Source organism: Homo sapiens, chromosome 10 (assembly GCF_000001405.40).
Source record: "Homo sapiens chromosome 10, GRCh38.p14 Primary Assembly".
In the NCBI taxonomy this organism is placed as follows: domain Eukaryota; kingdom Metazoa; phylum Chordata; class Mammalia; order Primates; family Hominidae; genus Homo; species Homo sapiens.
The window spans coordinates 12,443,187-12,468,281 of NC_000010.11; the positions used below are offsets into that span (position 1 = coordinate 12,443,187).

At 44.1% G+C, this 25,095-nt stretch overlaps 1 protein-coding gene and 1 pseudogene across 7 annotated transcripts in view, besides 1 other annotated feature; both read left to right on the forward strand.

Moving 5' to 3' along the window:
* The window catches only part of CAMK1D (calcium/calmodulin dependent protein kinase ID), a 485,999-nt gene that overhangs the window by 93,640 nt on the left and 367,264 nt on the right, over positions 1-25,095 (forward strand). The gene's annotated exons all lie outside the window — the stretch shown is intronic.
* Positions 5,220-6,419: an enhancer, noted in NCBI's record as "P300/CBP strongly-dependent group 1 enhancer chr10:12490405-12491604 (GRCh37/hg19 assembly coordinates)". NCBI's record gives its function as "activates an origin of replication core promoter dependent on BRD2, BRD4, P300/CBP, MED14 and CDK7 cofactors, with strong dependence on P300/CBP, by STARR-seq in HCT116 cells {active_cell/tissue: HCT116}" and the evidence as "EXISTENCE:reporter gene assay evidence [ECO:0000049][PMID:35650434]".
* RNU6ATAC39P (RNA, U6atac small nuclear 39, pseudogene) lies at positions 13,297-13,445 on the forward strand (annotated as a pseudogene).

Sequence of the window (25,095 nt, forward strand, 5' to 3'; positions counted from 1 at the left end):
AGACGTTTATGTGCGGCAGATCTTCTCGGGGTTTGCCTATTTGTAAAATGTATTCAGTATTCATGGAACAGATATGATGGGTGCTCACTCTACACCAGGTACCATGGTCAAACAGAGAGGGCTAACCTATGTTGCCTCCATTCTGAGAATCTCTGCGGTGACACAGGAGGGGACAGAAACAAGGATAGAAGCTTGTAGTTGCAATATAGTGTCGTGATGACCTTCACGAAGGCACGAACCATGTGTTGTGCTCGTATAGTCGTGTTACAGGAAAGGGGTCCTGATCCAGACCCCAAGAGAGGGTTCTTGGATCTCACACAAGAAAGAATTCAGGGTGAGTTTATAGAGTAAAGTGAAAGCAAGTTTCTTCGGAAGGTAAAGGAATAAAAGAATGGCTATTCCATAGAGCAGCCCTGAGGACTGCTGGTTTCCTATTTTATTTTATTTTTTTTTTTATTTTTGAGACGGAGTCTCGTTCTTTTGCCCAGGCTGGAGTAAAGTGGAGTGATCTTGGCTCACTACAGCCTCCGCTCCCCGGGTTCAAGCGATTCTCCTGCCTCAGCCTCCTGAGTAGCTGGGATTATAGGCACCTACCACCATGCCCGGCTAATTTTTGTATTTTCAGTAGAGACGGAGTTTCACCATGTTGGCCAGGATGGTCTCGAACTTTTGACCTCAAGTGATCCAGCCACTTTGGCCTCCCAGAGTTCTGGGATTATAGGCATGAGCCACTGTGCCCAGCCTGGTTTCCCATTTTTATGGTTCTTTCTGGATGATATGCTAAACAAGGGACAGATTATTCATGCCCCCCCTTTTTAGACCATATAGGGTAACTTCCTGTCGTTACCATGGCATTTGTAATCTGTCATGGCGCTGGCGGGAGTGTAGCAGTGAGGACAACCAGAGGTCACTGTCATCGCCATCTTGGTTTTGGTGGGTTTTGGCCAGCCGGCTTCTTTACTGCAACCTGGTTTATCAGCAAGGTCTTTATGACCTGTGTTTTGTGCCAATCTCCTATCTTATTCTGTGACTTGGAATGCCTTAACCATCTGGGAATGCAGCCCAGTAGGTCTCAGCCTTATTTTACCCAGCTCCTATTCAAGATGGAGTTGCTCTGGTTCAAACGCCTCTGACAGTCAGGCATAAGAACCATGATGGAAACCTGCGTTTCCTTGGCCTCTGAGGCTTTGAGGAGGTGTATATGCTGATGTCGATGAAAAGAGTCAAACTCTGTAAAATATTTAAGGAGGTTTCTTCTGAGCCAAATATCAATGACCAAGGCCTATGATACAGCCCCAGGACGTCCTGTGAACATGTGCCCAAGGTGGTTGGGGTGCAGCTTGGTTTTATACATTTTAGAGGGACAGAAGTTAGAGGCAGACATCAGTCAATATCGTATTTAAGGTGTACATTGGTTTGGTCTAGAAAGCCAGAACAATTTGAAGCAGGGATTTCCAAAATCTCTGAATGCAAGTGCATTCAAAGAAAGGGATTTTGGAATAGATTTTGAATACAGGTGCATTCAAAGGTTTTCTGATTAGCAATTGGTTGAAAGAGTTAAGTTATTATCTAAAGATGTGGAATCCATAGAAAGTAATGTCTGGGTTGAGATAAGGGGTTGTGTAGACCAAGGTTTTTATTATGCAGATGAAGCCTCCAGGTAACAGGCTTCAGAGAGATTAGACAGTAAAGGTGCCAGACTCTTAGTTAAATCTCTCTTGGAACAGGAAAAGATGTGGAAAGGGGATGGGATTCGCTACAGAATGTAGATTTTCCCCACAAGAGACAGCTTTGCAGGGTCATTTCAAAATATGTCAAAGAAATGTGTGTTGGGGTAAACTACTTTGATTTCTTTCAGGGCCTGCTATCTGTCACATGATGCTATACTAGAGACAGGCTGGAATTTGGTATCTTATTGCTACAAAGCATCTGTTTTCTCAGTCTTAAGATTTCTGTTTGAATGTTAATGCATGCCGGCCAGTCGTGCCCGAATTCCAAAGGGAGGAGGGTAGAATGAGGTGTGTCCGATCCTCCCTTCCCATCATGCCCTGCACTAGTCTTTCAGGTTAACTTTGGAATCCCCTTGGCCAAGAGGAAGGTCCTCCATTCAGTCAGTTGAGGGGGTTTAGAATTTCATTTTTGGTTTACACCAATTAGAGTTCATGTGAGAGTTCTGAAATGAAACCTCACCTTGGAGAATGAGTAGAATTTAGTCAGACTTAGCTTTGGTTCTGCCATTTTGTTTTGGCTTCCTTTCACATGAAGACAGGCCATTGTCCTGTTTGCTCTTGTTCCTTGGCTGGTTTCAATGTTAGCATTGCCCTTACAGACTGGGCAGAAGAGTAGACAGACTTTTCTTTGGGTATTCAAAATATCACCATCAAGTACTGTTAACGTGCTTTTTTAGACTGGAAACTTTCCCAAGGCCGTTTTCCCCACCCACTGACTTGCCTTTAGCCATGATCATCATTGCTTTTGTCCTGTCTGTAAGAATAAAAAGAAAAAGTCCTTTTAATGTAAAAGTCATAAACCATGTCCTGACAACTGCAGAGAATTATATTGCTCATTTGTTTTTATTGTTAGTATAACTTTTAATTGTCTTCCTTATCTTTGTGCCTGACTGTTGTTTGCTGGCTGAAGTTAACTATGTTTTGAAAGTCAGTTCAGAGGTGAATGAATGGTGAGGTCATCATAGCAGATATAGACATGTTGGCGTTTTTTTTCTGAATGTCAAATGCTAATTTTAGCCATAACAAATTTTGAAAAAGAATGAAAAGTTCCCAGCGAGGGAAATAAAGGTATTCTGTGTGGGAGGCACCTGTTATTTGCAGATAGTACTGTTCATTTCTTTTGCAGATATGAAATACAGTCTCTTTGCCTCAATTATTACTTCATCCTTCAGCCTGCTAGTGTTACAGAAAAGGGGTCATGATCCAGGCCCCAAGAGATGGTTCTTGGGTCTCGTGCAAGAGAGAATTCAGGGCAAGTCCACAGAGTAAAGTGCAAGCAAGTTTATTAAGAAAGTAAAGGAATCAAGAATGGCTAATCCATAGACAGAGCAGCCCCGAGGGCTGCTGGTTTCCCACTTTTATGGTTATTTCTTGATGATATGCTAAACAAGGGGTGAATTATTCATGCCTCCCCTTTTTAGACCATGTAGGGTAACTTCCTGATGTGGCCTTGGCATTTGTAAACTGTCATGGTGCTGACAGGAGTGTAGCAGCGAGGACAACAAGAGGTCACTCTCGTCGCCATCTTGGTTTTGGTGGGATTTGGCCGCTTCTTTACCGCAGCCTGTTTTATCAACAAGGTCTTTATGACCTGTATCTTGTGCCGACCTCCTGTCTCATCCTGTGACTTAGCATGCCTTAACTGCCTGGGAATGCAGCCCAGTAGGTCTCAGCCTCATTTTACCCAGTCCCTACTCAAGATGGAGTTGATCTGGTTCCAGTGCCTCTGACACTAGTATTTGAGGAAGCTCAGATGTTTCTAAAGTCTGGATAGTAGCCATGATATAAATCCTTTCTCTTTTTGCAGTTGGAGACTTTACAGCAAGCTCTATGCCGGTGATTCCCAAGCCCTTTGGAGTTAGAACTCTTTGTCCTTGTTGTTCTGGTTTGAGTCTACCCTTCCTTCCCTGCTGTCAGATACTGTGTGCTGTATCTTAGTTGGATGTTGACTTCCTTTGAGAATTCTTTGATCTTTTCTGAGAATTACATGAGATACCTTAAATTGGGCTAAATGTAGGGAAGGGATTTTGGAATAGAACTAGGGAGTGTCCCAACTGGCAGCTTCCCCAATTCATCCTAAGACATTTTGCCATGTCTAGGATGGGTTGTTTAAGACAACGTCTCCTTTTCTGGGATGTTCGAAACTCAGTGTTTGGGTCTAAGTTTTTTCCACTGTGTCTCTCTCTCTCTGTCTTTTTTTACTGAGTATATTCTTCTGCAGAATGGTCTGTATCTCGTGTTAGCTTCAGAAGGCACCACTTTCAAGAGGTAATTAAATTATAAAGATTTGTTCGAAGTCATTATCAATACTGGAGAAGTTAGCAAAGGTATTGGAAGGCCAACAACAATTTATTTCCCATGTCACTCTTTCTGCAGAAACTCACCTAGAGTCCTTAAAGGGAATAACTGGTAACTTTCTGATATATCATGATGAGAGGCCTCTGCTGGCCACTGGGCAGCCTTCAGATAGTTTTTTCCTTTTTTAAAATGTTTAAATTTTTAGGGCTAGGTGTGGTGGCTCATGCCTGTAATCCCAACACTTTGGGAAGCTGAGACAGAAAGATTGCTTGAGGCCAAGAGTTTGAGAACAGCCTGGGCTACATAGCAAGACCCCGTCTCTCCAAAAAATTAAGAAATTAGCTGAGTGTAGTTGTGTGCACCTGGGGTCCCAACTACTCAAAAGAGTGAGGTGGGAGGATTGCCTGAGCCTGAGAGGTTGGGACTGAAGTAAGCCAAGATTGTGCCACAGCATTCCAGCCTTGGTGATAGAGTGAGATCCTATTTCAAAAAAAAATATTGATTTTAAGTTAATTTTGTAGTTCACTGTAGTCTTGAACTCTTGGACTCAAGTGATCCTCCTGCCTCAGCCTCCTGAGTAACGAGGACTACAGGTATGTATCACCATGCTTGGCTGATTTATTTTTTTTACTTATTTTTATTATTATTATTTTTTGAGATGGAGTTTCGCTCTTGTTGCCCAGGCTAGGGTGCAATGGCACAATCTCGGCTCACTGAAACCTCTGCCTTTGGATTCAAGTGATTGTCCTGCCTCAGCCTCCCAAGTATTTGGGATTACAGGTGTGTGCCACTACACCTGGCTAATTTTTTTCTGTTTTTAGTAGAGACAGGGTTTCACCATGTTGGTCAGGCTAGTCTCGAACTCCTGACCTTAAGTGATCCTCCTGCCTTGGCCTCCCAAAGTGTTGGGATTACAGGCATGAGCCACGACTCCTGGACTTTTTTACTTACTTTTACTTTTTGTATTTTTATTTTTACTTATTTTTATTTATTTATTTTTTTGTTTCTCTATATTGCCCAGGCTGATCTTGAACTCCTGGCCTCAAGTGATCCTCCTGCCTTGGCCTCCCAAAGTGTTGGGATTACAAGCGTGAGCCACGATGCCTGGATTTTTTACTTATTTTTACTTTTTGTATTTTTATTTTTGCTTATTTTAATTTTTATTTTTTTTTTGTTTCTCTATATTGCCCAGGCTGATCTTGAACTCCTGGCCTCAAGTGATCCTCCTGCCTCAGCCTCCCAAAGTTGCTGAGATTACAGGTATGGGCCACCATGCCTGGCCCACAGAGTTCTCTGGAGGAGAAACTGTAGAGCCGTGTGGATTCTTGCCTGGGTTTGTTTAGAGATACTACGGACTTCTTGCCTAGGTTTGTTTGGAGAAGAGTCAAGCAGTACTTGAGTGATTTGAATTTTTGTTGAGAAAAACAAAGTGAAAAACATTTTTTCGACATCAGATATGTTGTTTTAGCCTCTGTGGCAGATTTTATTTTTCTCTTTTACTTTTTGTTTTTATCCTTTTGTACTATTTTTAAAGAAAGGAATGAGAAGAAATTATCCCCGGACCATTCCTCCCGGTGAAAAACATGAAATGTGACTATCCGGAAATGGAGTGTGATCACAGGGGCACGTACGGCTGAGTCATCCAAAACGCTGACTGTCGTGTAGGGCTCCGTGGTTTTGGTGGTTTTCTTAACTTCTCTGTGCCCTGGTTACTTCATCAATGTGATGGAGATAATAATCTCATCGGATGTTGTGATTTACTGAGATCATTCTTGTAAACACTTAGAATAGTTCCTGGTACACAGCAAGCGGTTTGTGATTGTTATTGTATGATTCTATCCAGATTCTATTACGTCATGTTACTATGTTATGAAAGATTCCAGTTCCTTGGTGCACTGATGTGGTCTTTGAAACTCAGAACAAATGTTACCTGGGCCGATGTTACATGAGTATTTGGCCATTAAAATCAGATAAAGAGGCCAACCTAGCAAGTTACTCTCATTGAAGTGTGGCTTGTCTGCCATCCTCATTGGGAGCACGTAGAACCTCCCCAAGCTGAGTGGGCAGGGTCCGTGTGGCTGTGTGAAGGGCCCCGTCGTCTTGTGTAGCTGCTCCCGTGTTGAGAGTATAGCATGTTGAAAACAGCCTTGGCAGGAACCACGCTTGCTGTTAACCAGCTCGTCCACTAACCAGCTGTGTATACCCTAGGTCAGGCCAGCTGTTTAAAAAAAAAAAAAGTGAAGATATTTGCTAAGAGAGTAGATCTCAAGTGCCATCATCACACGCACACAAGGGGTGATGATGGCAGTTGATAGGTATGTTAGCTTGATCATGGTGATCATTTTATGATGTATACATATATCAAAACATCATGTTACGATGTATACATATATCAAAACATCATGTTACGATGTATACATATATCAAAACATCATGTTGTATACCTAAATATATACCATTTTTATTTGTCAGTCATACCTCAGTAAAGCTTAAAAAAAGACACATGTTGGCCGGGCGTGGTGGCCCACGCCTATAATCATTTGGGAGGCCTAGGTGGGTGGATCACTGGAGGTTAGGAATTTGAGATTAGCCTGGCCAACATGGCGAAACCCCACCTCTACTAAAAATATAGAAATTATCTGGGCATGGTGGCAGGCGCCTGTAATCCCAGCTAACTGGGAGGCTGAGGTGGGAGAATCGCTTGACTTGGGAGGCAGAGGTTGCAGTGAGCCGAGATTACACCACTGTACTCCAGCCTGGGCGACAGAGCGAGACTCCATCTCAAAAAAAATACACACGTATATAAAAAAAGTAAATTGGAGACATCTTGATGTTACACCCATACTAACAGTAGTGTCAATCTCTGTTCCTTCACCCAAGGAAGGAAAGAAGGAAGGAAGGGAGGGAGGGTGGGGAGAGAGAGAAAGAAGGAAGGAGGGAAGGAAAAAGGGAAAGAAGGAAGGAAGGAAGAAGGAAGTTTCCCTATGTAATTAAAATAGCATTATCACAACTAATACAATTAATACTAATTTCTTAATATCCAGTTTGTATTCCAGTTTCCCCAGTTACATTTGGGTTATATACTGAGTTTACAGCTCCACAGTCTCTTCGTGTGGGGAATGAGGAGGTGGAACTAACTCCATGAGCTCTCAGGTTTATATAAGCGTGAAAGTTTTATGTTTAATACCATTAGGAAGAGCCGTTGTGATTTTGTTAATTTCTTGTTCTTAAAGAAGGATCGAAGCTTTAGAGACATAAACGTGGCTCTCTAGCCAGGTGAAATGGAAATCTGGAAGTTATTTGGTTAAGAGAATAAATAGGGATGGGTTAGTGGTGTCTCCAGCTGGGCTTGGCTTGTAGATTGGGCAGCTCACACATGGACAGTGGTTTGATGACTTGTGTACTGGCCAGAGAGAAGGAGGCTGTGTCCTGGTCTGAGACCCAGCAGGTTTGAGGTCTTGTATTTTCTAGTCTCCATAAATGTTCCCAATGCCATTTCGAGTTACAGTGAGGACTTGGACAGCCCTTTGCATTTAGTTTTGTTTTGTTATTTGAGACTCTGGTGTTTTCTTCAAGGAGGCTAAATGCTGGGTCTATTGGGTTACCTGTCTAAGGAAACTCCCATTGTTCCAGAATAAAAGAAGGATGAAAAACTCATGCTTTGACTGCCTGGCGGCTATCAGGTGCTGCTGGCCCCAGAGGTTATGAGCCAACTGGCATGTCCTGCGCCTCATGCAGGCTCCCACTGTGAGAACCAGCTTTGAAGACCTCCCACCTAGACCTGCCCGCCATGTAAGAGGTGCGGTGCTGGGTGTCTGCCATGGGCCGGGGAGTGAGGAGAACCATTCTTTCCCACATGAGCTCTGAACCAATTGAGAAGTAGGGCTGAGGGGCCAGGCAGGTGGAGATCAAAATGTTAAATTCATTCCTGATAAAAGTTCCATTGGAGGACTGGGGCATGTTTTAATAAAGGGCTTCCTCACTCTCAACCTCAGAAGCAGTCCGCCTAGCCCCCTGCAGGCTCCTCCTCTGGCCCAGAGGAGAGATGTAGTCTGTGGGCTTCCCACGGGTTCCCAAGAGAAAGGAGGGAGAAGGAGCTGGGCTGGTGCCCTCCATCCCCTCCTGGCCAGCTGGGTAAGTCTGTTCTCTTGCCTTGGGAGGAGGAAGAGGTAGGAGGGCCTGGAGGAGATTCCTCTGTAGACATTGGGAACCTGCTCCATCTTCACTCTTGCCCTCTTCTTGGGACCTGGTATCCCCAGGGACCCAGTGCCCTGGCTCCATTTGAGGATTTCCACCCTGGGGCAGCTCTTTTCCTGTCTCAGCTTCACAGACTAATTTATTTAGAGGGGGCGAGAGAAATGAGATAAATTCTGATAATAGTGGCACTTAATAAATATTAATTGTCATTCATATACATGATATGCATTTCTTGAACTGGTAAATCTTTCAAAGAATTTATTTTACAATTTCTCTCAAACTCTGAATATTTGTGGAGTAAATGAATATACCAATCCTTTGTTGCATTGGGAGGCAGAGACTTGAGGATGGTTATGTGTTTGTGTGTGTGTGTGTGTGTTGGAGAGTGGGTCAGAGACGAAGTGGGACAGGGAGCTAAGGCTTCTGGAAGATTCCCTGGGGGATGTCCATGTTCTCAGTGTCCCGGGGGCTACTCTGGCCGATGGGCCTTCGACCACCGGGGTCCCAGGAACCAGAGCAACAGAGACATTGGGGATCTGAAGCAGCACATGTGCTGGGGGCCGCCTCCTTTTCCAAGTGGCCAATAGCCCCTTAATTGAGGGAGAGGAACCATCCAGGTTCAGAGGCAAAGCCCACTTGAGAGGGAAGGAGGAGAGTCTCGTGGAGCAGGCGAGTCAGGTGGGCGATGTTTGCGGATCCCTTTGCAAGCCTGTTTTCACAGTGTTTTCAGGTGTGTTCTGAGAGCAGCGTATGGAACCCGACAATGACCTTTGTTCACATTAATGGAGCAGATGATTGCATTGCATTTTTTGGGTTCTTAAAAAAATGGTAATATGTATTATTGTAAACTGAATTTACAATATTTATACAATTATTTATATTGATTTATATTGTATAAATATACAGTGTCCAGTTTTTCTCACATCTAGCCCCTTTCTTCCTTTCATTTACAAAGAAATCATAAGGAAATTTCTCAGAATGTTATGTGGACTGAATAAATATTTATACATTATAAATAATTGTATAAATATACAATATTGTATACAATACAGTACAATTATTTATAATGTATAAATATACATTTATTTGTATATGTATTTGTATGTATAAATATGCATTATGGTCCATATATCAATACACATTATAGTAATATGTATTAATGTAAGTTTGACCATTTTGACTTTTTTTTTTTGAGACCGAGTCTCACTCTGTCGCCCAGGCTGGAGTGCAGTGGTGCAGTCTTGACTCACTGCAACCTCCGCCTCCTGGGTTCAAACAATTCTCCTGCCTCAGCCTCCCGAGTAGTTGGGATTACAGGTATGCACCACTATGCCTGGCTAATTTTTTTATTTTTAGTATAGACGGGGTTTCACCATATTGGTCAGGATGGTCTTGAACTCCCGCCTTGGCCTCTCAAAGTGCTGGGATTACAGGCATGAGCCACCGCGCCTGGCCCATTTTGACTGTTTTTAAGAGTACAGTTCAGTGGCATGAAGTATATTCACATTGTTGTGCAGCCATCGCCACCATCCATCTCCAGAACTTTTTCATCTTCCCAGACAGAAACTCTGCCCTCATTCAACAGCAACTCCTCATCTTCTCTCCTCCCAGTCTACGGCCAGCCCCATTCTACTTTCTCCCTCTATGTATTGGACTACTCTAGGGGCCTTGTTGAAGTGGATTCGTCAATATTTGCCTTTTTATGACTGGCTTATTTCACTCAGTCCTCAAGACCCATCCAGTTTGAAGCATGGGTCAGACTTTTCTTCTTTTTCTTTTTTCTTTTTTTTTTTTTTGAGATGGAGTTTCACTCTGTCGCCTAGGCTGGAGTGCAGTGGTGCAGTCTTGGCTCACTGCAAGCTCCGCCTCCTGGGTTCAAGCGATTCTCCTGCCTCAGCCTCCTGAGTAGCTGGGATTACAGGCGCCTGCCACCACGCCCGGCTAATTGTTGTATTTTTAGTAGAGATGGGGTTTCACTGTGTTGGCCAGGCTGGTCTTGAACTCCTGACCTCATGATCCGCCTGCCTCGGCCTCCCAAAGTGCTAGGATTACAGGTATGAGCCACTGTGCCCGGCCAGAATTTTCTTCCTTTTTAAGGCCGAATAATATTCCATTGTATGGCTAGATCATATTTCGCTTACCCATTCATCTGTCCATGGACTGTCTGAGTAACCTTTTGGCTATTGTGAATCATGCTGCTAGGAATATTGGTGTATGACTATGTTGCATTACATTTTTAAAAGGAAACTTTCGTTGAAATATAATACAGGCATTGCATTTTTGGCAACCACAACACACTTCTGACTTACATGGACTTACCTGAACTGCTGGTTATCCAAAACCCCTAAAGTTTTAAATGTAACAACTAGGATACATTTTATCATGGAGCCTTGCCTGTTTTGTTCTGAGTTGTTAATTTTTATGCACAATCTTGTGAGATCCAGCTCATTATATCAGCCTGTCAAGATCTTTTTAGAATTCTGAGTTTAGTTTAATTTTGGGTTGTCCACAAACATGATGATCGTATCCTCTCTCTGTACAAGTCACCAATAAAAATGCTGAAGAGGAAGGGGCCAGCAGCAGAGCTCTGGGGGGGCTGTTGAAACCCTTCCCCTGGTTGGGTCTTGCTGTGCAGGTGTTTATCGGTCCAGTTTTTCTTGCTTCTAGCTCCTGTCTTCATTTCATTTATAAGGAAATTTCTTACTATATTATGTGGACAGCAGGTTGTCATTCTGTTTTTGAATTTAATTTTTTTGTTTGTTTGTTTTCGCGATGGAGTCTCGCTCTGTCACTCAGGCTGGAGTGCAGTGACGCGATTTCAGCTCACTGCAACCTCCGCCTCCTGGGTTCAAGCAATTCCCCTGCCTCAGCCTCCTGAGTAGCTGGGACTACAGGCGCGTGCCACCACGCCTGGCTAATTTTTTGTACTTTTAGTAGAGACGGGGCTTTACCGTGTTAGCCAAGATGGTCTCAATCTCCTGACCTTGTGATCCATCTGCCTCGTCCTCCCAAAGTGCTGGGATTACAGGTGTGAGCCACCACTCCCGGCCGAATTTTAATTTTTTTTTAGAGACAAGGTCTTACTTTGTCACCTGGGTTAAGAGTGCCGTGGCACAGCATAGCTCAATGCAGCCTCAAATTCCTGGGCTCAAGCGATTCTCCTGCCTCAGCCTCCCGAGTAGCTGGGACTATAGGCGTGCACTGCCATGCCTGGCAAATTTTAAAATTTTTTGTAGAGATGGAGTCTCGCTGTGTTCCCCAGGCTGGTCTTGAAATCCTGGACTCAAGTGATCCTCCTGCCTCAGCCCCTAAAAGTGCTGGGATTACAGGTGTGAGCCTCTGTGCCTGCGCTATGTTGCCACTCACCTAATAATCTGCAAACCTCTGGAGAATGGAACTAAGCCAGACTGGCTGTCCGCGCTCAGGTTTTTTAGTAGGTAAAATTTTAGGTGAATGACAGTTAGCTGTTCTCCTACATTCTCATTGCCAGGTTATAATGCAAGCAAGTTTCATACCAAATTCACATAAGATCCCTTATTTAGGAAATGTGTGAGCAGGCCGGCCGGCTGGCCGAGTACAGTCTGGGTGGTGGTTCTGTCATCAGGAGTCCCTGCTCTGTGCCTTACTGTGTGCTCTGAGTGCCACTTTGGATGAAAGCTTCCCTCGAGGCAGATTTTCCAGTATTCCAAAACCAGGGTTCTCTTACCCTAGGAGGAGCCTCAGGCAGCCAGAAATTTCCCAAACCAATGGCTGGACCTTTTTAGGAATCTCGCATAAGGATAGAGGGTCTTGCTCTGTAGCTCAGGCTGGAGTGCAGTGACATGACCAGGGCTCACTGCAGCCTTGACCTCCCGGGCTTAAGCAATCCTCCTGCCACAGTGTCCCAAGTAGCTGAGACTTCAGGTATGCACCACCACACCCAGCTAATTTTCGTATTTTTTTGTAGAGACAGGGGTTTTGCCATGTGGCCCAGGCTGGTGTCAAACTACTGGGCTCAAGCAGTTCGCCCGCCTTGGCCTTCCAAAGTGTTGGGATTACAGGCATGAGCCACTATGTCCAGCCTGGTAATCACGGTTCTGACTGTTGTCACCTTAGATTAGTTTTGCCTGCTTTTAAATTCCATATAAATGGAATTGCACTTATGTTTTATGACATTGATTCATGTTGTTGTATGTAAAAGTTGTTCGTTTTTTCCCCATTGCTCTGTAATTCCATCATATAAAGTTTAGGTTCCTTTCTGTAGTTGATGGACATTTGGTTGTTTCCAGTTTGGGACAATATGAAGCAAACAGCTGAAAACATTCTTGTCCATGTCTTTGGTGGATGGAGTATGAGTTATTGATTAGGTTAACTGACTGTTCTTAGAATTGACATTTACAGCAACTAGCCCATGGAGAATATCATGCTGTCCGTGCCAAATGATTTTAAAGTAAACTGAAGGTGTTATACAAAACCATATTAAACAAAGGAGTGAATTTAGTCTCATATGACTTGTATTTAGCCAGTTCGTGCCAGTATGAAAGCAGATCATTGCTTTGGTGCACCCCGCCCATAATAAATGTTCTAAGTCAGAAGGTCAATTTCCTGAAATCTGAGATTCTCATGTGAAAGTACATTGTTTCCTCATGCCTTCTCCAGAAGCTTGGGTGGGAAAGAACCCTTTATCGCTTCTGCAGATAGGCACCATTTTCTCATTATAGATTCTCACTGTGAAAAAGTCATGAATTACTAAAAACTCTGGGAATATAAACTAGGTTTGGGGATCCCCTGAATTGGAATGAATAAAGTTTTAAAATATTCATTTATGTTTGATTTCCATGTCATTGTGTGTCTTGTGATGAGAAAAATATTTGCTGCTGATTTAGAATTCCTGAATGCTCTTATAAAAATTTAATTCCACCCATATTAACTAGGCTTTCAAGTCTTTTTGAGAGGGGCTGTTTTCTTCCAATAGGTTGCTAGAGGGGAAACCTGTTAGCCTAAGAGAATTGTTGGATGCAAGTTTAATAGGGAAGGTGAACTCAGACCACCAGTGGGGGATGCCGCATTGATTTAAATTTTAAAAGATCCCGTGTTTTATGAAAGTAAAGAAATAGGTTAACAGTCCCCGTGACAAGAATGGAAAACATTCTCAGGACCTATACCACACATATACATTTAAAGTATCACTCAGCCTGGGCAACATGGTGAGGGCCTGTCTCTACAAAAATTTAAATCTTAGCCAGGCATGGCGGCACGTGCCTGTTGTCCCAGGTTGAGGCGGGAGGATCACTTGAGCCCAGGAGGTCAAGGCTGCAGTGAGCTATGATTGCGCCACTGCAGTCCAGCCTCGGTGACAGAGTGAGACTCTGTCTCAAAAAAAAAAAAAAAAAAAAAAATCTCTACCTTTTTATAGCACCTAACAGTACTTTTAAACAACCCTACAGGAGGGGCATCTGGTGCCATGAACTAACATTACGGATACATTTACCCTTTGACCCAGCAGTCCTGTTTCTGGGAATCTTTACTGCAGATACACCCCCACATGTGATGAAATGACATTTGCTCACAATTATCATTGAAGCTTTGTGACACCAGAGTGTTGGAAGCCGCCAAGTGGCCATCAGTCAATAAGGGACTGGTTAAAGGGGTGATGGTGTGTATCGACAGTGGAACGCTATGCAGCTGTTAAAGAGAATGATAAAAATCTGTGTTTCTGTCCAGGCATGGTGGCTCACGCCTGTAATCCCAGCACTGTAGGAAGCCAAGGTGGGCAGATCACTTGAGGTTGGGAGTTCGAGACCAGCCTGACCAACATGGTGAAAGCCTGTGTATACTAATAACACAAAAATTAGCTGGGAGTGGTGGCACGTGCCTGTAATCCCAGCTACCCTGGAGGCTGAGGCAGGAGAATCGCTTGAACCCAGAGGGTGGACGTTGCAGTGAGCCGAGATCGAGCCACTGCCCTCCAGCCTGGGTGACAGAGCGAGACTCTGTCTCAAAAAAAAAAAAAGTGTTTTGAAATGGGAAGATTTCCAGGTACATTAACAAGTACAAAACGCAAGGTGAAAAACAGTGCATGGAGTATGCTGCTCTTTGTATAAGAAAGCTGGGCGGCCGGGCGCAGTGGCTCACACCTATAATCCCATGGGGAGGCCGAGACGGGTGGATCACGAAGTCAAGAGATTGAGATTATCCTGGCCAACATGGTGAAACCTTATCTCTACTAAAAATACAAAAATTAGCTGGGTGTAGTGGCGCGAGCCTGTAGTTCCAGCTACTTGGGAGGCTGAGGCAGGAGAATTGCTTGAACCCAGGAGGCGGAGGTTGCAGTGAGCTGAGATTATGCCACTGCACTCCAGCCTGGCGACAGAGCAAGACTCTGTCTCAAAAAAAAAAAAAAAAAAAAAGAAAGATGGACATACGAACATATGTATGTGAATTTACTTATATTTGCATCAAGAAACACTGGAAGGATAAACAAGTTATAATAAAATGCTCTTCTGTCTGAGGCACAGGGGAAGGGAGTGATTGGGAATAGGTGTCGGAATGCCTCCTTTGCATGGGTCTTTTGATGGATTGTGTTGACCTTTGAATCATGTAGAAAAGCAAGTCAGCAACCAGCAAAAGCAAATCAGCCAGGGAATGCCTTTGACTTTGAATGAGACCAAGAGCAGGTGGTGGAGAGTGAAGGTGGTTGACTGCATTTCTTAGCTCAGAAGCAAAGTCAGTGCATTCATTCATTCATTCAATCTGCAAATGCATACCGAGCCTCTCCCATGCACTGTCTGCTGTTGCACATGCCGAGGATACAGCTGTCAACAGAAGCATTAAGGTCCAAGCTTTCCCAGAGCTGGCATTCTTGAGGGGGCAAACACATGACAAAAAGGTGATTAGTGAGGAAGAGAAGGCTCATGCGGCAGGACCTAGAGAGGAAGGCGAGAGGAGTCCATGCTGAGGCCAGAGGGGACGTTCATTGCTGATACATATTCCTATGTGTTCATCATGCATTTGCAAACAGTATTTTTTTAATTTTATTTTTTAAAGACAGGGTCTTGCACTGTCACCCAGGCTGGAGTGCAGTAGCACGATCATAGCTCACCACAGCCTCTACCTCCTGGCCTCAAGTGATCCTCCCACCTCAGCCTTCCAAGTAGCTGGAACTAAAGGTGTGTGCTGTCATGCCCAACTAATTTTATTGTTATTATTAATATTTTTTGTAGAAATGAGGTCTCACTGTGTTGTTGCCCAGCTGGTCTCTTGAACTCCTGGCCTCAAGCGATCCTCCTGCCTCAGCCTCCTAAAGTGTCAGGATTACAGGTGTGAGTCACTGCGCCTGGCCCTTTGAACAATATTTGCACCTAGGATAATAAAGTGGTGTAAAATCTTACATTTAATCTTTTGCTACAGCAGTCAGGATTACATTTTATCATCATATTATCACTTCAGATAAGTTTCTTTCTTTCTCCTTCCTTCCTTCCTTTCTTTCCTTTTTTTTTTTTTTTTGAGATGAAATCTCGCTCTGTTGCCCAGGCTGGAGTGCAGTGGTGTGAGCTCGGCTTACTGCAACCTCTGCCTCCCAGGTTCAAGTGATTCTCCTGCTTCAGCCTCCTGAGTAGCTGGGATTACAGGGATGCGCCACCACGTGTGGCTGATTTTTGTATTTTTAGTAGAGACGGGGTTTTGCCATGTTGGCCAGGCTGGTCTCAAACTCCTGACCTCAGGCGATCCACCTGCCTCGTCCTCCCAAACTGCTGGGATTACAGGCGTGAGCCACGGTGCCGGGCCAGGATTATATTTTATCATAATATAATTATCACTTCAGATAAGTTTCAAATAAAAAAAACCACGTTATGGCAGGTGACTGTGCCCCAGCCCACTACTGTGTTGGTGGAAAACTAGAATTTAGTTGAATAAATAAAAAGTGGATTTGATCATGATAGTTTGCTTTCACAACAGTCAGGTTATTCTGGGGTTAATGTTCTCTGAATGATTTGTGACTATAACCATAGATTATTAGGTGATGAGACATTACTGTGACGAGTCTATTTTTTTCTATTCTGTAGTTTAAAAAAATTCCTCTTCACTGTGATATATTAGCTACAGAAAATTGAAAAAAAAACCCACGCATACACTCAGATAAATCACATAGCCCTCATATTCCATATGTCTTCATGACAGTCATTGTCTGAGAATCCCAGGGCGATAGCTCCATGGTAGATAATGTAGATATTTGAAACATATTTGTCTTGTGTTTATTTATTTATATTTTCTCTTCCTTGTCTTTTTAGTGGCAGACTTATCTGTCATAGTTTCTGAATTCGATGAAAGATTAATGTGGTTATTTTTAAAATTTTTACGATGAAATGATTAGTTTGCAAGAGAGATTTTTCTCTGTCTCTTTGGGTTCAATTAAATGTTGGTGAAACTTGAGAAATAATGAGCAACATGGATCAAAGCCGTGGGGAAAGGCGGTGTTATTGCTTCCAGCATCTCTAGGTCTGCAACAGCAAGAGTTAAGTTTTGCTCAGAGAATGAAGGAAAAATAACACAGACTGGGCAGCCAGATTTGCGAGTCTGGGCTTTTCCTGACAACCAGTGCAGACTATAGCTCCATCTGACATGGAACCGGCGTATTCACAAGCATTGCTAGATCTGTGATCTAGTTATGAAAACACCAGAAATCGGCTTTGTTTTCAGGGTGAAAAAAATGCAAAGTCATACAGATTCTTATTTCCTAATCATGATAAACTCCACTGTATGGTATATTAAGGAAAAGCTCCAGGAGTAGCAGACATCCTCTGTCATTTTAGGAAATGCACAAAAAGGTGGTAATGAAAGCTTGTTGTCGTATTTCCTATTTCTCTATTCTTTTTTTTTTTTTTGAAGAGATGGGGTTCCACTTTCTTGCCCAGTCTGGAGTGCAGTGGTGTGATCATATCTCCCTGCAGCCTTGAACTCCTGGGCTCAAGCGATCCTCCTGCCTCAGTCTCCCGAGTAGTTGGGACTACAGGTCTGCACTGCCATGCCCAGCTTATTTTATTTTATTTATTTATTTTTTTGAAATAGTCTTGCACTGTCACCCTGGCTGGAATGCAGTAGTGCGATCTCAGCTCACTGCATCCTCCTCCTCCTGGGTTCAAGCAATTCTCCTGCCTCAGCCTCCTGAGTAGCTGGGACTACAGGCGCCTGCCACCACACCTGGCTATTTGTATTTTTAGTAGACATGGGGTCTCACTTTGTTGACTAGGCTGGTCTTGAACTCCTGACCTCATGATCCACCCACCTCGGCCTCCCAAAGTGCTGGGATTACAGGTGTGAGACACTGCGCCCAACCCTATTTTATTTTTAATTTTTGTGGAGATGGAGTTTTGCTATGTTGCCCAGGCTCGTCTTGAACTCCTGACTTCAAGTAATCCTCCCACCTCAGCCTCCCAAAGTGCTGGGATTACAGGTGTGAGCCAGCACTCCTGGCCTCCCAATTCTTAATTGCTTAAAAGGGTTGGACTCTCTTTGAGGACTAGCTGATTCAGAGCTTTGTCAGATCTGTCCTCTTAGAATCTCAGGGTGGACTTGGGAGGATGTGATCTTTGCTTCCTGGTAGATAAAGGAAAAAAGTAGGTAGTGACTGCAGAAGGACCTCCACTCTGCCTCCTCAATTCACCTTACAGGAAGCTTGGACAGCATCTCTGGGGCTGGCCAGGGCAGTTGCTGCAGCCAGCCTGTGAGGACAGGATCGTCCTCATCCACCATTGCTGCCAGTGAGACAACCCTGCCAGAGCAGGTTTGATTTTCCATAAGCAGCTGTACTCAAGGATGTAGAAAGGCACCTGGCCACTCTGAGGATACATGTTCCGTGCTCTGCGTGTTGTGTTATCTTTCTGAATTTACTTTCTAGGCAGGAAATAAGAATAGGGTAGCAAAAGTAAGAAAGGACGAAGGGCAGTTGGGTAGGAGTCGTCTGATTCTTTAATGCTTTTTACTATTTGGGGTAGCAGTTTAAAGAAGAGATGCTTTTGGCCGGGCGCAGTGGCTCACGCCTGTAATCCCAGCACCTTGGGAAGCCGAGGTGGGCGGGTCGCGAGGTTAAGAGATCGAGACTATCTTGGACAACATGGTGAAACCCCGTCCCTACTAAAAATACAAAAATTAGCTGGGTGTGGTGGCGTGCACCTGTAGTCCCAGCTACTCCGGAGGCTGAGGCAGGAGAATTGCTTGAACCTGGGAGGTGGAGGTTGCAGTGAGCTGAGATCATGCTATTGCAATCCAGCCTGGTGACAGAGCGAGGCTTCATCTCAAAAAAAAAAAAAAAAAAAAGAAGCTTTCAAAGTAAGAATACCCAAAAGTAACCCAACAGTGGTGGAAATATTTCACAGTTATTTTTAGGTGTTCTTCTATGATGGTAGCCAAGGTATCTCTTAGAGTAGATGCCTTGAGTGGAGACCGTATTGTTTTGCCACGTATCTTTGGAGGAGGAAGTTTGTTGCTCATCACAGAAACCAAACACTGTTTTTCTTGGGAACTGTTCCCTGTTCTCTGAAACAATGAACACGCTTCTCTCGGATCCACTTCACCAGAATATTCCCACCCAGCGCTTCTTACGTCTTATATACCAAGACCCCTAACTCCCTTGCGACTCAGCGAAAGAATGAGTGCGTGCTCCTAAGAGTTTGTGTTCTGTCGAAGTCCAAATTCTGTTAATTTTATGAAAATTCACTTATTTTTCATTACTAAATGGATAATTTGAATTTCTGGCCTATGAAGAGTTTTTTTTTTTTTTTTTTTTTTTTTTTAGGCAGAGTCTTCCCCTCTGTTGCCAGGCTGGAGTGCGGTGGCGTGATCTTGGCTCACTGCAACCTTCGCCTCCCAGGTTCAAGCAATTCTCCTGCCTTAGCCTCCCGAGTAACTGGGACTACGGGCACGCGCCACCGTGGCCAGCTAATGTTTGTATTTTTAGTAGAGACAGGGTTTCACCATGTTAGCCAGGATGGTCTCCATCTCTTGACCTTGTGATCCGCCCACCCTGGCCTCCCAAAGTGCTGGGATTATAGGCATGAGCCACTGCGCCTGGCCAAGAATTTTTTTTTTTTTTTTGAATAAATGGTTATAAGCATTGGACCATATTTGTGAAGGTCTCAAGACCATCTAACAGAATTGTTGTAAAATATGACAGTAACAGGAACAACTACAAAAAAGAGAGCTGATATTTGTATATTGCTGTTAGCATGCATTATTAAACATGAGAAGGGTCAGAGTTCAGATGTGACATGCCTAATGGGCTGATATGAGTTGTGGAGCTCTCATTCTCTTTTTTCTTTAGAGATGGGTTCTTGCTCTGTTTCCCAGGCTGGAGTGCAGTGGCACGGTCATAGCCCACTGCAGCCTTGACCTCCTGGGCTCAAGCAATCCTCCCATCTCAGCTCCTGCCCTGAGTAGCTGGGACTACAGGCATGCACCACCATGCCCAGCTTGAGCTCTTATTTCTAACCCGTTAAGGTAATGGAGTCCTCTGCAGTGAAGTGGTGTTAGTGAGAATAGCTTGCAGGGCAGAGCCTAGCAGCATAGACAGAGAGCACTCTATCTGGGCTGGAAGAAAAAATGAGCATATGCCAGAGAATAAACATCTTTTGTCAAAATTCTGTTGGGCAACCAGCAGCTGGCACTCATATCTAGAGTCCAAGACCGATAACAGCAAACTTATTTCCTATTTGGCTTAGAGAATGAAAATAAGCTCTAAGAGTTTTTTTTTTTTTTTTTCCTCCTGAAATGGAATCTTTCTCTGTCGTTCAGGCAGGAGAGAGCAATGGCGTGATCTTGGCTCACTGCAACCTCTGCCTCCCGTGTTCAAGTGATTCTCCTGCTTCAGCTTCTTGAGTAGCTGAGATTAGAGGCGCACACCACCACACCTGGCTAATTTTTGTATTTTTAGTAGAGACGGGGTTTCACCTTGTTGGCCAGGCTGGTTTCGAACTCCTGACCTCAAATGATTCACCCACCTCAGCCTCCCAAAGTGTTGGGATTACAGGTGTGAGCCACTGCACTTGGCCAGCTCTAAGAGTTTTAAAAAATTTATGCATAAATATATCATAGGTTGGTACTAACCAGTATTTTAGTTGTTAGTAAATTTGGTGGTTTGTTTATAATGCAACAACTTATCTTTTTAAGTAAACATGAATTCATAATCTGCCAGCACATCTGTGTCTCTATCAGCCAGTTTTCTCACCTCTGAGATTACCACTCTTTTGTTTTCACTACGATGTTCTCGGTGCTTTTTTCTCACCTCTCGGTGAGTTGAAGGGGCTGATGTGTATCGCCCCCTGATATGGTTAGGCTTTATTTCCCCACCAGGTCTCATCTTGGATTATAATTCCTATAAATCCCCATAATCCGCAGGTGTCAAGGGAGAGACCAGGTGGAGGTAAATGAATCATGGGGTAGGTTTTCCCCATGCTGTTCTCGTGATAGTGAGTTCTCACTAGATCTGATGGTTGTATAAGTGTGTGGTAGTGTCTCCTGCGTTCCTTCTCCTTCCTGCCGCCTTGTGAAGAAGATGCCTTGCTTCCCCTTCTGCCTTGCTTCCTTCCTCTTCCACCATGATTGTAAGTTTCCCGAGGCCTCCCCAGCCATGCTGAACTGTGACTCAGTTAAACCTCTTTCCTTTATAAATCACTCAGACTCAGGCAGTTCTTTATAACAGTATGAAAACGGACTAATACACCCCTGCTTAGATGGGGTCTGAAAACCTGGTTAAAGTATATCTCAAAACAATAAATAAAAGCTCCTGGCTGTTGGTCCCCTCTTTGTCCCGTGGTTGTTGAGTGACTAGGTAAGAAATTAAATGGGACACTCTGCAGATACCTAGCAGAGGCCTCGGCAGGTGGGTCTTCCATCAGTTGGTATTTTTCCTCTCCTTCAGTAGCTCTTTTCCGATTGCCACAGAGCACTCCCAGGTGCAGAGAGTAGTCAGTAAATGAACTGGCCATCTCCAGAGCTTTTGCAGACTCACCTTGAGCAAGGCTGATGCTCTCAGAAGGTGTACCATTTGATCGTGTGGCTTTACCTACCCTCCCCCACCACGTGTACTGTAATTTGAGAGTTTAGTGTTAGTGGCTGATGTCAGACAAGGCAGAAAAGAGTGGTCAAGGCCGGGCGCCGTGGCTCATGCCTGTAATCCCAGTACTTTGGGAGGCCGAGGCAGGCGGATCACGAGGTCAGGAGATTGAGACCATCCTGACTAACACGGTGAAACCCCATCTGTACTAAAAATACAAAAAATTAGCCGGGTGTGGTGGCGGGTACCTGTAGTCCCAGCTACTCAGGAGGCTGAGGCAGGAGAATGGCATGAACCCGGGAGGCGGAGCTTGCATTGAGCCGAGATCTCGCCACTGCACTCCAGCCTGGGTGACAGAGCGAGACTCCATCTTAAAAAAAAAAAAAAAAAGAGTGATCAAATTCATCCCAAATGTATTTTGTTGTATTTCATATTCTTCATATTTGAGCACTTAAGAACCATTCACAAGTCAATTCTCTAAAGCAGAACATCACATTCAACAGCACACACATTCCTGAGACGTTCTGGATATTGGGCAAGGAATAATCAATCCTAAATTCCATTATGCCTTTACAGTGGTCATGTTGAAATCTGATGAGAATGGTGGGTGAGAGCTTGGGTTTGTCCGTCACCCATAAAGCACGCAGTTTGTGCATTTCAGTTATGTGCAGAGGTTTAATGGTAGATTTCTAATTGAAGGATAAGATAGTGGGGCAGCATTTCTTTACCAACTCTGATAAGCGAAAATAAAAGTCCTGTTCATCTGGGTGTTTCTGTCTCAGCCATTAATTATAGATAATCCCCAATTACCCCTGAATTCAGAGAGTTTTGCATATAATTAAAATTCTCTGATAATTCAAAAATTCTACTTTGGTTGTTAATTCTTATTTCTATTGAGCCAATCTTTTATTTTTATTTTATTTTATTTGTTGAGATGGAGTCTCACTCTTTCACCCAGGCTGGAGTGCAGTGGTGTGATCTCGGCTCACTGCAAGCTCTGCCTGCCAGGTTCAAACGATTTTCCTGCCTCAGCCTTCCGAGTAGCTCGGATTACAGGCGCCCACCACCACGCCTATCTAATTTTTGTATTTTTAGTAGAGATGGCGTTTCACCATGTTGGCCAGGCTGGTTTTGAACTCCTGACCTCAAGTGATCCACCCACCTTGGCCTCCCACAGTGCTGGGATTACAGGTGTGAGCCCCTGTGCCCAGCTGAGCCAATCTTATTTTTAACAAGCATCAAAGAGGTAATGTTTTGAGCAACCACCTCGTATTTTATCCAGGTTGTTGCATTTAATCACCCCTTTGGTGCTGCAGTGTGGTATTACTCCACATTACAGATGAAGAGACAGAGGTTCTGGGAGGCTAAATGCAAAGTCATCTCTTGAGTCATGAGCTGGACTGCTACTTCACCTAACTTGAGACCCATACTCTCTCTTTCTCTTTAGATTGCTGCCTGCCCACTGCTAGAAGCAGATAGGAAGAGGCCAGAAAAAGACTGAAATGATCATAAATCATCAATTTCTGAGTAACCAGGAATTGACAAATATTTGAGAGAGTTAGCCTCAGTTTCTTCATTTAAAAAATGAGGTTATGGCTGGATGCTGTGGCTGATGCTTATAATCCCAGCTGCTTGGGAGGTTGAGGAAGGAAGATCTCTTTAGGCCAGGAGTTCGAGACTAGCCTGGGCAACATAGTGAGACACCGTCTCGAAAAAAAATTTTAGGGAGACCAAGGCGGGCAGATCACGAGGTCAGGAGATCGAGCCCATCCTGGCTAACACGGTGAAACCCCATCTCTACTAAAAATACAAAAAAATTAGCTGGATGTGGTGGTGAGCACTTGTATTCCCAGCTGCTTGGGAGGCTGAGGCAGGAGAATGGTGTGAACCTGGGAGGCATAGCTTGCAGTGAGCCGAGATCGCACCACTGCACTCCAGCCTGGGCGACAGAGCGAGATTCTGTCTCAAAACAAACAAACAAAAATTTTTAAAATTTAGCTGGGAGTGGTGGCACATACCTGTAGTCCTAGCTACTTGAGAGGCTAAGGCAGGAGAATTGCTTGAGACCAGGAATTGGAGGCTGCAGTGAACTATGATCACACCACTACACTCCAGCCTGGGAGACAGGGCAAGACCCTGTCTCTGAATTTCTTTTTTTTTTTTTTTTTAGAAGTCAATAGGTTTTCCTAGGGGGAGGTGTTATTTGTAAGTAACAGATGAGATAATGCATTAAAAATACTTTGGTAAGTGCCATCAGCAATAAATATGCCAAGGAAGATGGTCCCCCTCTCAAGCCTCTGACCTTAGGAAGGATCTGTGCCTGGGAAATGTGTCTTGGGAACGTTTTTTATGGGAAGGTCGTGGCGGCAGCTACACAGGGCTTCTTACACGAGCTGAGAGCGACATCTGGTCCAGACAGATGACAGGTGCAAAATGAAGCAGGATGTTTCAGGGATTGTCGTAGCTGGGGCACATTTGCTTGTTTAAAATCTCTGGAACTTCCTGGCCAAAAGGCTTATAGGGTTTTGATGACTCATTTTGAAGCAAAGCAAGCACCCCAGGATGTTGCCCTCGAACTCAGGTTGAAATTTCACCTCTCTTGGCTGCCTGAGAAACTTGTTGTCAGTACGTGGCCCGCAGAAGGAATGGGTAGATGCTGCCATGTGGAACGTGTAATAAATATTGTGACTCGGCAAAGGGGTGTCCACTCTCATGTTTTCTTTTTTATTGACATGGAGTCTCACTCTGTCACGCTGGCTGGAGTGCAGTGGCGCGATCTCAGTTCACTGCAACCTCTGCCTCCCGGGTTCAAGCGATTGTCCTGCCTCAGCCCCCCGATTAGCTGGGATTACAGGTAGCTGCCACAATGCCTGGCTAATTCTTGTAATTTTAGTAGAGATGGGGTTTTGCCATTTTGTCCAGGCTGGTCTTGAACCGCTGGCCTCAAGTGATCCACCTACCTCAGTCTCCCAAAGTACTGGGATTATAAGCATGAGCCACTGCGCCCAGTCACTCTCATGTTTTCCTGACAGCTGCGACCAGGGTAACTTATGAATTGTGACTTGAGCCATGTCCCAACCTAAAGAGAGCAGTTACTTAATGCATTTTCAAATGCACTGAATGTCAAAATATTTTCACCTCTGATTAAAAAAATGAAATTGTCAGTTATGCCAGGTCTACCTAGAATAGATGACTTTTCTCTCATCAACACTCATTTTATGAGAGCGTTAGCAGAGATACACTTCATAATGCTTGGCATAGCCCATTGTAGGGATGGCATATGTATTTGTTGAATAAATGGGCTGCAGAAGCACCTGTAAAACCCAGGCTGGGTTTGTGTAATCATTTGTAGGTAGGATTATCTCTTGATTGGTCTTTGTTCACATGAGGTTTACAACATATGTTCTTTAGGTTTTTTAAATGGAATTTTTTATTGACATAATTGTAGATTTGCATGAAGTTGTCAGGAGTAATAGAGATAGCCTGCATACCCTTTATCCAGTTTCACCCAATGGTAAATCTTACAAGTTTACAGTACAATATCATAACCAGGATATTGAAATTGATATAGTTCATGTCATTCATACAAGCTACCGATTTTATGCAAATACGCTTTTTAATTTTTATGTTTTGAGACAGGGTCTCACTCTGTCACTCAGGCTAGAGGGCAGTGGTGCCATCATGGCGCACTGCAGCCTTGACCTCCTGGGCTCAAGTGATCCTCCCGCCTCAGCTTCCCGAGTAGCTGGGACTACAGGTGCTTAACACTACATCCAGCTATTTTTTTTATATTTTCTGTAAAGACGGGTCTTCATTCTGTTGCCCAGGCTGGCTCATCTC